This window comes from Homo sapiens, chromosome Y (genome assembly GCF_000001405.40).
Source record: "Homo sapiens chromosome Y, GRCh38.p14 Primary Assembly".
NCBI lineage: Eukaryota > Metazoa > Chordata > Mammalia > Primates > Hominidae > Homo > Homo sapiens.
In genome coordinates, this window is record NC_000024.10 from 3,528,316 (window position 1) to 3,544,916 (window position 16,601).

Below are 16,601 nucleotides of genomic sequence, written 5' to 3' on the forward strand. Positions count from 1 at the left end.
ATGTAGATGGGCATCAGTTGTGGAGGTGTCAGGTGGTTGAGTTGGCTTGACCTAATGCCCTGTGGGAAGTGGTCTGGTGGCAGAACTGTTGGACTGGGCTAGATTGTCCCATAGTTCACAGGTCCTTACATTGCCTGCTGGTTAGTGTCTATGAGTCCTGAAGAGGCTGGACCAGGCAGGGTTGGGCTAGCCCAGAGTTCAGATGCTGGCTGTGATGAAGAGGGGTGGGCTGGTCACTGATCACCAGCAGAACTGTCAGGTTGTGGGGTTACACTTTCAGGAGAAATGCTCAGGTGAAGGCAGGGCAGCAGTGCTGTGGGCCTTTAACTGCAGAGACCAGGTCCCCTCAGCTGGAGCAACAGAGACTGGCAGCTGTGGGGTGTGTGGCACACTTGCACTTCCCTCCTACAAAAGTAGCTCTGGGTTTTATTAATACTCTTGGGGGCATGCACATGTGCTGGGCCTCCTTGCTCTCTCTCTGGCCCTGGAGTGGCAAGGACTTAGCCTGTGGCTGTGGCAGCTGCAAGGGGCTAGTCAGCGACCTCTGGGAGTGTGCTCTCAGAGGAACACACAGCCACAGCTGCAGTGTTCAGATGAAGGTGGGGCAGGTGCACTGGAGGCCTAAAGATGACAAGGCCCATTTGGCAGGAAGCAGTGAAGTTGGGGAGCTGTGGGGCATAAAATCTGTTGCTGTTCTGTACCTCATCTGCAGTTATCTGTGCTGACAGTGCCAGAATGTGTCCAGCCTCCCCATTCCCTCCCTGGCGTAGGGGCAGCAAGGGTGGAGGCAGCTGTAAAGGGCTTGTCAGTGACCTCTGGGAGTGGTGCTCTCAAAAGAATGCTGAACTGTGGCCAGTGTTCAGATGGAGATGGTATGGGTGTCCTTGGGGCCAGAAGGTGGCAAGCCTCATTTGGTAGGGAGCAGCAGAGTTGGAAAGTCACGTGGTGCACAGTCTGGCTGCTCCACAATACCATGGATGTAGTTTCTATCTTTGGGGTACATGAAAGTACCTGGTCTTTCTCTTTGGTGGGGTGGTGAGTAGCTGACAGTGGCCTACTCAGGGATCAAAAGCCTGTGGGATTCCATGTGGGCTTGAACGGTGCCTCTACAGTGTTTTCAGGTGGCTCTTGTGTTTTTCTGGTGGCCTGGGGGCATTGAGGGGACTCTCCCATGACTAGGATTGTAAAGGTCCATGGTGGAGGTGTGTATCACTGCTGGTGTCTCACTCACCCACCCCTTTCCCACCTTTGAGATCCTCTCTCGGCTCTGCACCTGTCCTGAATCAGTGGTAGTCTGGCTGCACACTTCTTGGCTTTCTGTGGGTCCCATCACTTACCTGGTGAATTTCAGTCTGCTCTATGAGATGATGTACTTGAGGTCTTGCTATTTACTTGTTATTTGGGCTTATCTTCGTAATAAAGGTAAATAAATGCTTCTAGTCAGCCATATTGAACCAGAACCTCTCAAGATTCATATCTGGAAACACTTCACACACCCCCACACACCTTTTTGGTCATACCCACAATCTCTTGTATGATTTCTTTGATTGGCTCGGTTTTAAATCTGTGAAGTCATGCACAACGTCTGAACACAATTTTCTCCAGCAGAAATTTATTGTTTCAAGCTTGATACCTTTGGTGGCTTTTTTTAGTAACGATAATGGCATCTTGAATGGTAGATTTTTATCATCTTCTATTAGAATTATTTTCCATACAGTTGACAATCCTTTCCTTAGAGAACCATGAGGCTTATAGATCCCTATGACCCCCTAATCTGGAGGCTGAATTGCAAACATTATTTTGGGGGCAATTAGACCACTTTTTATACATTCAGTCTTGAACAACTAGGGTTCTGGGTGGCAACGGACATTGTACAATATTATAAGAACTTTAAAAGGCAGTCTCTTTTTGGTAAGGTACTTTCTGACTTCAAGGACAAAGCCTCAAATGATTAATAGAGAAAAAAGATTCTTATTGTCCCAGCCTACTTGTTTTACAACCAAAAGACTGGCAACTGGTATTTATCTTTTCCCTTCAATGCTCCAGGGTTAGCAACATTATAGATAAGGGCAGTCCTTATCATAAATCTGACCATGTTTACACAAAACAGAAGAGTTATACTATCCTATCTCTAATCCTCGTACTCACCTCTCTTTTATCCTAATGAATGTCCTTTTGTGGCATTTTATTTCAGAATAGGGTACTTTTGTGTGCACTAAAAACTCATTCAGGTAGATATACTTTGTCCTCAATGATTTTCTTAATGGTAGCTGGGACCTGGTCTGCTTCTACTAGGTCAGCAGAAGATGCTTCTCCTCTTTTCTTGATATTTTTAAGCCAAAATTTCTAAAAATGTTTTAAGCCAGAATTTGTCTTTCTGAAGTTATCAAACCATTTCTTGCTGGTATTAAAATTTTCAGCTTTAGATCCTTCATCTTCCTTTTGCTTTAAGTTTTCATATAATAACTGGGCTTTTTCTTGCATTGTATTAGAATATTTAGATGTGCCTTTCTTTTAGCAGTCCTTCACTCACATAAAAGCTGCATATTCAACACAAGATAAGGTATTTCTCAAAAAGGCAAGCTTTTGGGACTTGCTGGTATAACTACACTGATGGCTTCAACTTTTTTTTTTACAATGATCCTTAAGTTTGAGTTATTAATCTTGAAATGTCAGGCAAGCACAGCTGCAGACCTCAACTTATAGTACATATCAGGCAATTCAACTTTTTTTTGTAATCTCATGACTTTTCTGTGCTACCTGTAGTACATATCAGTCAACTGAACTCTTTCTTGTAAAGTCAGACTTTTTTGTGCTCCTTGAAAGCACTTCCAGCATTACTAGTGGCACTTCATATGGGTCCCATGGTTTTATTCAAGGGTTACAGTATTGTACTAAACATTATAACAAATTAGTATAGTTTAAGGAGATACATATGTGTGCCACATTGTCCAGAATTGGATTTGTGTACTTAATTTTAGGTGTCAACCTGACAAGATGAAATAATACCTGGAAACCTGGTTAAGGATTATTTTTGGTGTGTATGTGAGGTTGTTTACAGAGAAGATTAGTGTGTGAATCTGAGTGGATTAGGTAGGGAAAATCTGCCCTTGTTATTGGTCAACATCATCCAATCACCTGGGGCCTGGAGAGAAAAAATTTAGAAGGAGAATTTGTCTCTCCCTGAGAACTAAAATAGTCTTCTTCTGGTGCCTCAGTCATCAGAATGTTAGGCTTGCCAGCCTTTGGATTGCAGAATTTACTGCAGCCTCCCTAGGTTCTGAGGCTTTTAAAATCCTGAACAATTCTACCAGCATCCCAGGGTCTCCACTTGCATAAAGCCTGTCATTGGACTTCCCAGCTATCATAATTACATGAGCCATTTCCCCTAAGTTCTCTGTCATATAGCTACATACATATCCTATTGCTTATTACTCTCTGGAGAACCATGGGTTATACAGACTTGGCATAGGGGGAAGCTGAATATCATTCCTTCTTATTGTGTTTCTTACAAGACAATGAATGGGATCTCTGAAATTATTACCTTTTAAAAAGGCTATGATTAGTTAAATGTACAAGGTTACTTAACGCCGAATGATACAAGTTTAAATGTTAATTATAATTGGTGCTGCAAAAGCAAAAGTCTGCTTAATTCTACCAGCTGAGCAATAACCAGACTTTTAAATGGACAGCATATAGTTACAAAATTTGTAGACCAGAAGCACTCTCCAAATACAAGTGCAGTGAGTATTTCAAAGATCACAGAATAAGTAAAAATGCAGGTGAAAAACACAAGAACTCTCCCCTGCCAAATTATTCAATCATGTATTTCTGCTCCTTCATACATAGGTGCCATACTTGCCTTCAAAAAATGCCTGTCAGAGAATATAAAGAATTCCACAAGCTCAGCGACCTTCTGAACCAAAGACACTTGTTCATATTTTGGTTTCTTCAGTGTTACAAAACACATTAAATGGTAAACTTCTTTGATTTTCTTATATTTACCACTAACCCTAATATAGAAATATGCTTCGCTGTGTCTAATGAATGGCACTTCCAACTGTCCCCACTATTTTTTATTAACTATGTACAATTAATACCCTGGTTGAATCCAAAAATTTTAGAACTTTTCTACTCATTTTTGTATTAATAACTCAAAATAGTAAAGCATTTTGTAAATGCTCATTTGAAGATCTGGTGAACTTTGCAGAAAAAAAAAATAAATTTTCAAACCACAATGACAGTTTTGAGTAAGTGTGGCCAGAGCTTCTACAAGTGAATTTCAAAATGTTACCAATAAAGTTTTTTTTTCCATTAACCTCAATGCATTTGGTAAAAATTCTAATGAATGGATTGGTCACACAGCATGACAATGACAAAAGCTTCAGTTTAAAAATGTATCATTTGCCTGCATTGGCATTCCTTCAAGCTTATAACATCCCAGGAACTTTTCAGGAATTAAAACAGCATTTGTCCGAAAAGTCGGTGTAGTTAACTACAAGTTCAAAAATAATTTTGTGTATGGTAGTATAAGAAGCCACTTATTTAATAGTGTTGCTGTTTGGCCAGTGTTGTTTATATCAAATTTGTGGCCTATAATTGAGTCCATACAGACTGGATTTTTTGCATAACCAAAACAATATAGAAGCATTGCACATAAAATGGGAAAATTTAATCAGAAATGCTCATGTTGTTGTATATCAAATCATGAAAGAATTTCAAGAAAAGGCAATGCCATGTAATGGCAAATGAATGTGATCATATTCTCTGAGGACAGCCATTTCCTAAAAGAAAAAAGGCAGCTATTCATTAAGACACAATATTTCAAAATATAGTTAATGATCATAAAACTCAGTTATCTCTTAGGGAGTATCTCCGTGAAACTGCCCATAAACTATCCCTGTGATACACTTTTTCATATGTTAAAAATTTTCTTTTTAGTCATTTTTATCTTCTTTTTCTTTTTTCAGGTTTCTTCACTATTTTAAATTATCAGTACTTTTTTTTTTGCAATTTGCTATACTATATTTCATCTTCACTTCATTTCCAATACTGGAGGTTGAAATTGTGTAGAGACTTTTGGAGGGTTCTAATTGATTTTATGTATTTTTTATCAATTTGATGCCACAAAAGTGCATTATCACAATGTTGACTTTGTATGTAAGTATTATGTATGTATATAAAATGTTGAAACTTCCCCAAAATAGGCATATAGACCAATGGAACAGAATAGAGAACCCAGAAATAAATGAAGAGATGTCCTATCCTGTATTTTGTTGAATCTACATATACAGATCATTTGGGGGAGAAATTTAACTTTATAATATTGTTTTCTAATTTGTGGTCATAACATATCACTTAATTCAAGCAGGAATTTTTCTTGGACCAGTTAGAGAATTGAGGTGACAGTGCCAAACTGCCACTGAAAACTTGAAGTGAATGATGAATTCAGAAGCCACAGCGCATATCAGCTTACCTAGAGCAGAAGATAGAACCATAAACTGACAGGATCACTAAAACAATAATTATAAAAAATTGATGGAGGCTGAGTGTGCACTACAGCAAAAGTGATAAATGTCTGGGGGTCATATTTCTAAGGGAAAGTCCACATTTTTGTAAGTTTTACCTCCAGGAACTCACCAGTTTCTCATGGTAAAGAGAAAAAAAAAACCCTAAAATCTTCCTTTTTATGGCAAGGAGATGGAAAAGGTAACCATTTAAAATATGCACAACATATTCATCATGACAAAGGGCATTTCTGCAAAAGAAATAATTTCACCAAGGTCTCATCCAAACTAGAAGAAAGACACTTAACCAAGTTTATCTCCTTCTAGGCTTTCTGTCTTATCTAGGTGGAAAACAAATAGCTATAGAACCACAGAGGACATGTGAAACTCACAACCCAGGGACACGAGCACTCTAAATGACTTAGATTCTTCCCAGCTTCACTGAGGTATAATTGACAAATAAAAATTGTATATATTGAAGGTCTACCACATGACATTTTGAAATATGTATACGTTGTGAAATGCTTACCACAATAAAGCTAATTAACATATCCATTACTCACATAGCTACTTTTTCTTGTGTGTGTGGTAAAAACTTAAGATCTACTCTCTTAGCAAGTTTTAAGTATATAATACATTGTAATTAACTGTAGTCCCCATGCTGTACATAAGATCTTCAAAAGTTATAAATCTTAAAACCTCAAGTTTGTACCCTTTTACCAATATCTCATTTCCCCCATTCCTGATCTCTGGTAACCACCCTTCTAAACTGTAAAATGATATAGTGTTATGTGAAAGTAAGCTACATTGTGAACTCTGGGGAAACCAATAACAAAATCAAGAATAAGAATAATTGATGTGATAAAAGAGAAGAGAAAATAAAGATACATAAAATGATGAATTAAAATCAAAAAGAAAAAAGATAACAAAACTAAAAACAAAGAACAAGTGTAAGAAATAGAAAACAATTAACAAGTGTGTTAGATATTAATCTCATTATATCAGTAATCACTCTAAATGTGAATGGTTAAAACTCACCAATGTAAAGACAGACTTTCAGAGTAGATAAAAAGAAAGATTAAACCGTGGTTTATAAGAAATCCTCTCTAAATATAAAGACGCAGATAGATTAAAAGTACAGAAATGTAGGAAAAGATGCCATGATAACACTAGTTTAAGAAAAGGATGGCTTAGCTACACTGATTTCAGACAGAGTAGATTTCAAAACAAGAAATAAAACATTAAAAGAGGTATTACATAACAATAAAGGGGCCGGGCACGGTGGCTCATGCCAGTAATCCCAGTATTTGGGGAGGTTGAGGTGGGTGGATCACCAGAGGTCAGAAGTTCAAGACCAGCCTGGCCAACATGGTGAAACTCAGTCTCTACTAAAAATCCAAAAAAAAAAAAAAAAAAAAAAAAAAAAAATTAGCCAGGCGTGGTGGCTTGTGTCTGTAATCCCAGCTACTCGGGAGGCTGAGGTAGGAGAATTGCTTGAACCTGGGAGGTGGGGGTTGCAGTGAGTGGAGATCGTGCCACTGCACTTCAGCCTGGGCAACAAGAGTGAAAACTCCATCTCTTAATAAATAAATAAATAAATAAATAAATAAATAAATAAATAAATGGGTTAATTTTCTACAAATACACAGTAGTCTTTAATATATATGTATTTAATGATAGATCATCAGAATGCCTAAGGCAAGCTTTGGAACAGTGACATCGGGAATGTGGCACAGTAGGAGATACCTGCTTTCATCCTGCTCCTCCACCACCACCACCACCACCAACAACAAAACAACAAAACATAAACAAAAATAGCCTTGACAGGGCTTAAGGATCCTTTCCAGAATAAACAGTAACAAAGTAGAAAAAAAAAACGGAAAAAAACTGCACAGAAAGGATATATGATGAAAGTGGCATATCTGTAATGTCTGGAGATGACTAAGAGTAAAGAAGTGTGATGGCTATCCATGTCAGCCACATGTTGGGTTCCACTGCAGACTCCAATGGCCTGATCAGCAGAGGATACTGGCACCTTTCATCACTGAGGTAACAAATAGCCATCACCACTGCAGACCCCCATAGAGGAAGATGTGGTTGCACCATGGCCACCCAGAAGTCAAAACTGTGCTACTCTAGGACTGAAGCTGCCATCCCTCCCAACCCTGTGCATGCTGCTCCCCCCCACCAAGCACCACAGAGATGTAGCCACTTCACCAGTGTCCACATTCTAGACCATGGCTCTGTAATCTCTCTGTGCTTACCAGTGAACATCCACATCTTAAACACTGGAACTACCATAGTTAAGGACTAGCACCATCATAGGCCCTAAACCCTACAGTTACTCTGTTTTTGCATAAACTACAGGTCATTGCCCTGTAGCCACCCCATGAAAGTAATGTATCTGGTGTTTGAGCCACACTCACAGCTAACCCATTCTCCAGTCCCTAAGGCTACTATAGCCATTCATGTGCTAACACTCCAAACTCCAGCCCCATTGCTGTACTGCACACACCTGCACCTAAAACTCAGAAACAATGTTACTATGAGATAGTCTGCACAGAAAACTGCATTGCTATTGTTGTCCTACACACATTTGTGCTCCATACTTCAATTCCCCAACTACTTCACAAACACCTATACCTCACACATTATTACCAATATGGCAATGAGGGTTTCTGTACATGAGGCACCATTGTCATGGCAGCCCAGGACCCTAGAGTCTTGATCTTTCCATGTGTGCCCATGCTTCAGATCCAAGCTCCATGGCTGCTTCTTAGGCAATGTTCATGAGACACCAGGGGAAACATGCCATTAAGCTGGATCCAGTGCTAATAAAGATCATCAGGGCCATGACTTCTCTGGTAGAAAAAAAAAAATGATGAGAAAGACCCAACAGCCTTCACCATTAAAAACTTTAATGGCCTTCATCACCACTGCAGATACTTTCAGCCTTGGCTGTTAAAAACCACTGCAATCTTTGCCAACGTCAAACTTAGCTGGGAGATTTGCATGGAAACTATGCTGCTGTGCCCAAACCAGAGCCAGAACCTCCACAACCACTCAAACAGTGTCCTTTCAACTACCTACCGAGGAAAGACTTTCCTCATGGAAAGTATTTCAATAAACTCTGGAAGAGGCGACTACTCCATCACATGTGCAGATATCAATGCAAGGCAGTAAGAAACATGAAAAACCAAGGAAACATATTACTACTAAAGAATACAATAATTTCCCAGTAACAGACCACAAAAAATGGAGATCTTTAAATTGCCTGAAAAATAATCCAAAATAATTGTTCTAAGAAACCTCAGCAAATTTCAAAAGAAAACAGAGACAATTTAACAAAATCTGTAACATAATAAATGAACAAAATAAGTTTAACAAAAAGATTAAAGCTGTATAAGAAATTACCAAAGAGAAGTTCTGGAACTAAAAATCAAAATGAAGGAAATGAAAAATGTAATAGAGATTATCAATAGCAGATTTCATCAAACAGAAAGAACAATCTATTAACTCAAATGTGGGTTATTTGAAAATATACAATCAGTTTTTAAAAGTAAAAAGAATGAAGAAAGTATGGACTTTATGGGACAGCATCAAAATGGCTAACTTTCACATCACAAGAATTTGAGATGGAAAAGACAGAGAGAAATGGATAGAAATATTATTTAAATAAATAATGGCTGAAAGCTTCTCAAATCTAGAGAAAGATTTAAATACTCAGGTACAAAGAGCTCGAAAGTCTCCAATCTGTTCAATTCACACAAAACTACACAAAGTCATATTGTAAACAAATTGACAAAAGTATAAGGCAAAGAGAGATTCTTGTAAGCAGGAAGAGAAAATTTTACAAACTCACATAAAAAGGAACATAATTTGGCTATCATCAGATTTTATAGCAGAAACTTTTCAAATGAGGAGAAAATGGGGTGATATATCAAAGTACTAAAAGAAAAAAAATACTGGCAAGCAAGAATACTTTACCTGGCAAATCTATCCTTCAGAAATAAAGGACAGGTAAAGGCTTTCTAGACACAGCAAAGCTCAGGGAGTTCATCACCACTAAATCCTTACAAGAAATTCTGAAGAAAGTTCTTCAAGCTAAAACAAAAGAATGCTAATTAGTAACATGAAAACATATGATCATATAAAACATACTGGTAAAAGTAAGTACATAGTTAAACTCAGAATACTGTAGTGCTGTAATGGTTGTGTTAAAATTATATACTTTTAGTGTAAAGGCTAAAAGACAAAACTGTTAAACATAACTATACCTCCAATTAATTTTAAGGGATACACAATATAAAAAGGTGTAAATTGTGATATCAAAAACATAAAATGTGGGTAGGGTCATAAAAGTGTAGATTTTTTTAATGTGATGAAACTCAAGTTGTTATCAGCTCAAAAGAGCCTGTTATAAATAAATGTGGTGTTTTATATAAGCCTCATGATAACCACAAAAATCTATAGGAGATATGCAAAAGGAAAAGAGAAAAAAGTAAGGCATATCACTACAGAAAATTATCAAATCACAAAGAACAACAGTTATGGAGGAAGTAAAAAACAAAGAATGAACAAAAGTACCAGAAAACAATAAACTAAATGGAATTAGTAATTCCTTACCTATCAATAATTGCCTTGGATAGAAATGAATTAAATTCTCTACTCAAAAGATGTAGAGTGTCTGAATGGATAAAAAGCAAAACCCACCTACATGTTGCTTATAAGAGACTTACTTTGGTGTTAAGGACACATAGACTGACAGTGAAGGGATGGAGAAAAGATATTCCATGAAAATAAAACCCAAAACAAAAAGACATGGAATGTGGTTATACGATGATAACATAGTCAATTCATCAAGAGTATGTAGTAATTTTAAATATTTATGCATCCAGCATTGGAAAATCTAAATATATAAAACAAATATTCATATATATGAAGGGAGAGACAAACTGCAATGCAATAAATATAGGGGATGTACATACCTGACTTTGATCAATGAATAGATCATCCAGACAGCAAATTAAGAAGGAAATATTGGCCTTCAACTACACTTTAGATCACATGAACCAAAGAGACATGCAGAAATTAGATCTTACAGCAGCAGAATACACATTATTCTCTAGTGCACATGGAATAGTCTCCATAGTAGACCATATGTAATGCCACAAGACAAGTCTTAACAAATATAAGATAACTGAAGTCATATGAAGTATCTTTTCTCATCACAATGGTATTAAATTTTATATCAATAACAGGAGGAATATTGGAAACTTTATAAATATTTGAAAATCCAAAAACATTTTCCTTAACAAACAATGGGTCAAAGAAGATCAAAAGAAAAATTTAAAACTATATTGAAACAAATTAAAATGAAAATACAATATACCAAAATTTACGGGATTCATAAAAAGTAGTTCAAAGAGAAATTGTAGTACAAAATATTTACATCAAGAAGGAAGAGTGATCTCAAGTAAACAACTTAATGTTACACTTCAAGGAAGTAGAAAAAGAAGAGTGAACTAAGCCCAATGTTAGTAGAAGAAAAGAAATAATAAATAATAGAGCAGAAATAAGAAATAGAGGCTAGAAAAACAATAGATAAGATGAAAATAGTCAAGCATTCATTTTTTGAAAGATAAAATTTTGAAAAAAACCTTTAGTTAAGCTTACTAAGAAGAGAAGACTCAAATAAATATAACTGGAAATGAAAGAGGAAATATTAAAATTGATGCCACAGAAATACAAGTAATCATAAGAAACTACATGAACAATTATAGACTAATGAACTGGATAACATAGAGGAAATGGATAAATTTCTTGCCATGTGAAACCTATTAAGACTCAATCAGAAAAACCAGAAAATCTGAACAGACCAATAATGAGAAAGGAGAATTAATCAGTAATAAAAATACCTCCTATCAAATAAAATCCAGGACCTGATAGCCTCATTGCTGAATGCTACCAATCATTTTATGAAGAATACCAATCCTTCTCAAATTCTTCCAAAAAAAATGAAAAGAAACACTTAAAATTGTCATTTAATGAGGCCAGCATTACTCTGATACCAAACCTGACAAAGACACTACAAGAAAAGAGAGGATGATGACCCTGATGAACACAGATGCAAAAGTCTTCAACAAAACACTAGCAAACTAAATTCCACAACACATTAAAAAGATCATATAACATCATCAAGTTGAAGTTACCCTTGAGATGCAAGAATGTTTCAACATCTGAAAATCAACAAATGGAACACACCACATTAACAGAATGAATCATCTCATGAGATGTAGAAAAATCTTTGGATAAAATTGAAGATATTTCATTATAAAAACTCACAACAAATTAAATATAGAAGAAATGTACCTAAACACAAGAAAGACCATGTATCACAAGCCCATGGCTAACATCATACTCCACAGTAAAAAGTTGAAAGCTATTTCTGTAAGATCAGGAAGAATTCAAGGATGCACACTCCTGCCACTTTTATTCACCATAGTACTGGAAGTCCTAGCAAAAACAATTAGGCAAGAAAAGAAAATAAATGTCATCCAAATCATAAAGAAAACAGTAACATCTCTGTTTGCAGATGTCAGGACATTATATATGGAATACACTAAACACTACACCAAAAATAGTTAGAACTCATTAAAAATCCCATAAAATTGCAGAATAAGAAATGAACACACAAAATCATTTGTATCTCTATATGTTAACATTGAACTATCTAAAGAGAAATTGAGAAGAAAATCCCATTTACAATTGCATGCATCAAAAAGAATAAAATATCAAAAAATAAATTTAACCAAGGAGGTCGAAGTTGTATACACTGAAAACTATAAAATATTAATGAAAGAAATTGAAGAAGGCAAAAATAAATAAAAAATATGTCCATGCATGCTATTGGAAAGATTTTATACTGCCAAAATTTCCATGCTATCCCAAGTGACCTACAGATTCAATGCTATATGAACAATAAGATCCTAAAATTTGCATGAACCAACAAAAGACCTGAATAGCACATGCACTCTTGACCAAGAACAACAAAGCAAGAGTCATGACACGCTCTAATTTCAAAATATATTAGAAAACTATGGGAATAAAAACACTCTGGTACTGGCATGAAAACAGACACACAGACCAGTAGAACAGAACAGAAAGTTGAGAAATAAATGCAATCATGTATGTTGAACTTACGTTTCTCAGTGTTGCCAAGAATACACAATGGGGAACAAATTGTCTCTTCCACAAATGCGGTTGGAATAATTAGATATTCATATAGAAAAGAATAAAATTCAACCCTTATCTTACAATATACACAAATATCAACTCAAAATAGATTAAAGACACATGTAATACTTGAAACTATAAATTACCTAGGGTAACATAAAGGGGAAAAGGTCCATGATTTTGGTCTTGGCAATGATTTTTTGAATAAAACAGAAGCATACAGTATGAAGCATTCCCAAAAAATTAGAATTGTTATCTGATTCAGAAATCCCACTTCCGGGTATATATGCAAAGGAAATCATACCACCTTCTAGAAAAGATATCTGCCTTCTATTATTGTTATTATTATTTTGTTGTTGTTGTTGTTGAGATGGAGTCTCACTCTGTTGCCCAGGCTGGAGTGCAGGGGCTCAATCTTGGCTCACTGCAACCTCTGCCTCCAGGTTTCAAGCGGTTTTCCTGCCTCAACCTCTTGAGTAGCTAGGACTATAGGCAGCTGACACCATGCTTGGCTAATTTTTGTATTTTTAGTAGAAACAGTGTTTCACCATGTTGGCCAAGCTGGTCTTGAACTCCTGACCTCCGGTGATCTGCCCTCCTTGGTCTCCTAAAGTGCTGTGATTACAGGCAGGAGCCACCATATCTGGCCTGCATTCTATTATTAATTGAAACGTTATTTGTGGTAGCCAAGATATAGCAGCAACCTAAGTGTCCATCAATGAATAAATGAAGAAAGAAAGTGTGATAAATATGTACACAATGGAATATGATACACAAAAGACAAATGCTTGAGAGGATGGCTACCCCATTTCATATAGTGTGATTATTACACATTTCATGCCTGCATCAAATCATCTCATGTACCCCAAAATATATACACTTACTATGTACCCACAAAACAAAAAATTAAAAATTAGTAAAACACCAATGTATAAAAAGGTCAAATCTTCATTTGTAGATCTACAATATAAAATTTAAATATTTCATTTATACCTCATTGAAGCTGGAAATAACAATATTGTTCAATCTATATACACTCATCTTTTGAAGTTGTCTGATTAAAGAATATAGAAATAAAAGGCATATACAATGTGTTCAGCTATTGTAAGAATAAATTGATAATTCTTAAAAAATAAAAATAAAAATAACAGTAACTTTTTATTTGTAATGAAAAATTAATCACTATTAACAATTGTGTGACATAATTGTTTTCTTCTCTAATCAAGAGCCCACAAATATTTTAAGCATATTTTGGGAATGCTGTAGAAAATAAGATGAAGAAATGAAAATCTATGCTAAATTTGCAGACTTTATATATTAATTGACAACATTATTATACTTCTGTCTCAGAGCATTTCAGCAATATTTGTAAAATGGAAGCCTATGGACACAGTATCTATTCCTGGTGTTCTCCTTCAGTGCACAATCTTGCTACCTAAATTTTTAAACATTATTTATTTATTTATGTGTATATAGTATGTGTATATATTTATGGGGTACATGAGGTGTTTTGATACAGGCATTCAAATTGTAATAATCATGTCATGTAAAATGGAGTATCCATATCCTCAAGCATTTATATTTCTGTTACACAAAAATTCTGTTCTTTTAGTTATTTTTAAACATATAATTAACTTATTGACCACAGTCACCCTGTTGTGATATCAAATACTAGGTCTCATTTATTCTTTCTAACAGTTTTGTACCCATTAACCATCCCCACTTGCCCCTGACACTCCCAATACCCTTCCCAGCTTCTGTTAACCATTCTTCTACACTTTCTCTTCATGAATCCAATTGTTTTGAATTTTAGATTCTATAAATAAGTGGGAACATGTGATATTTGTCTTTCTGTGCCTGGTTTATTTCACTTAGCATAATGACCTTCAATTCTATCCATATGATTGCTAGATCATATGACAGCTCAATATTTAGTTTATTGAGGAAGCTCCAAACTATTTGCCATAGTGGTTGTACTAATTTACATTTCCACCAACAACGTAGGAGGGTTCCCTTTTCTCCACATCCTTGCCAGCCTATGTTATTGCCTGTGTTTTGGATATAAGCCATTTTAACTAATCTCATTGCAGTTTTGATTTGCATTTCTCTGATGATCATTGACGTTGAGCACCTTTTCATATGCCTGTTTGCCATTTGTATTTCTTCTTTTGAAAAATGCCTATTCAGATATTTTGCCCATTTTTCAGTCAGATTATTAGATTTTTTCCTATAGAGCTGTTTGACCTCCCTATATATTCTGGTTATTAATCCCTTCCTAGATGTGTAGTTTGCAAATATTTTCTCCCAATTTGTAGGTTGCCTTTTCATGTTGTTAATGGTTTCCTTAATCATTTCCAGCTTTGTTGTGCAGAAGCTTGTTAACTTGATGTAACCTTATTTGTCCATTTTTGCTTTGGTTGCCTATGCCTGTGGAGTACTGCACAACAAATGTTTACCCAGACCAATGTCTTGGAGAGTTCCCTTCATGTTTTCTTGCTGTAGTTTCACAGGTTGAGGTCTTTGATTTAAGTCTTTGATACATATTGATTTGATTTTTGTATAAGGCAAGAGATAGAGCGAGACTCCGTCTCAAAAAAAAAAAAAAAAAAAAAAAAAAAAAAGAGATAGGGGTCTAGTTTCCCTCTTCTGCAGATGAATATCTACTTACCCCGGAACCATTTATTGAAGAGACTCTTTTCCTCAGTGTATGTTGTTGTCACTGTTGTATAAAATGAATTCACTGCATGTCTGTGGTTTTTGTTCTGGGTTCTCTCTGCTGTTCCATTTGTCTATGTGTCTGTTGTTATTACAGTACCATGCTGTTTTGGTTACTATAGGTCTGTAGTATAATTTGAAGTCAGTTTTGTTCTTTTTGCTTAGGATAGCTCCAGCTATTTTGTGTGTGTGTGTGTGTGTGTGTGTGTGTGTGTGTGTGTGTGTGTGGTTTTATATAAATTTTAGGATTATTTTCTATCTTTGTGAGGAATGTCATTGTTATTTTAATAGAGATTTCATTGAATTTGTAGATTGCTTTCGGTATTATGGACATTCTAACAATGTTGATTCCTCCAATCCAAGAATGTGGTATATCTTTGCAATTGTTGGTATCCTCTTCAATTTCTTTCATTAGTGTTTTATAATTGTACTTAGAGAGATCTTTTAATTCTTCATGTAAGCTAATTTCTAAGAATTTAGTTTTATTTTTTGTGATCATAAATTGAATTACATTTGATTTCCTTTTCAGATTGTTCACAATTGCCATATATAAATGCTACAGATTTTTGCATATTGATTTTATATCTGTGATTTTACTAGATTTGTTATCACTTCTAGTAGTTTCTTGGTGGAGTCTTTAGGTTTTTCCAAGTATGAGATCATACTATCTGCAAATAAGAACAATTTGAATTATTTATTTTTAATTTGAAAGCCATTTATTCCTATCTCTTGTTTGTTGGCTCTAGGTAATACTTCCAGTGCTACGTGGAAGAACAGTGGTGAAGGTGGGCATTCTTTTCATGTTTCAGATCTTAAAGGAAAGCTTTCAGTTTTTTCCCATTCAGTATGATAATAGCTGTGGGTCTGTCATATATGGCTTTTATTAGGTTGAGGTATATTATCTCTGTGTCCACTGTTTTCAGGGTTTTATTATGAAGGGATATTTAATGTTATCAAATGCCTTTTCAGCATCAATTGAAATGTTCATATAACTTTTGTGCTTCATTTTGATGATGATTTATCACATTGATTTGTGCATGTTGAACCATCCTTGCATCGCAGTGACAAATCCCACTAGGGTATGATGAATGATCTTTTAAATATATTGTTGAATTATATTTGCTACTATTTTCTTGAGGATTT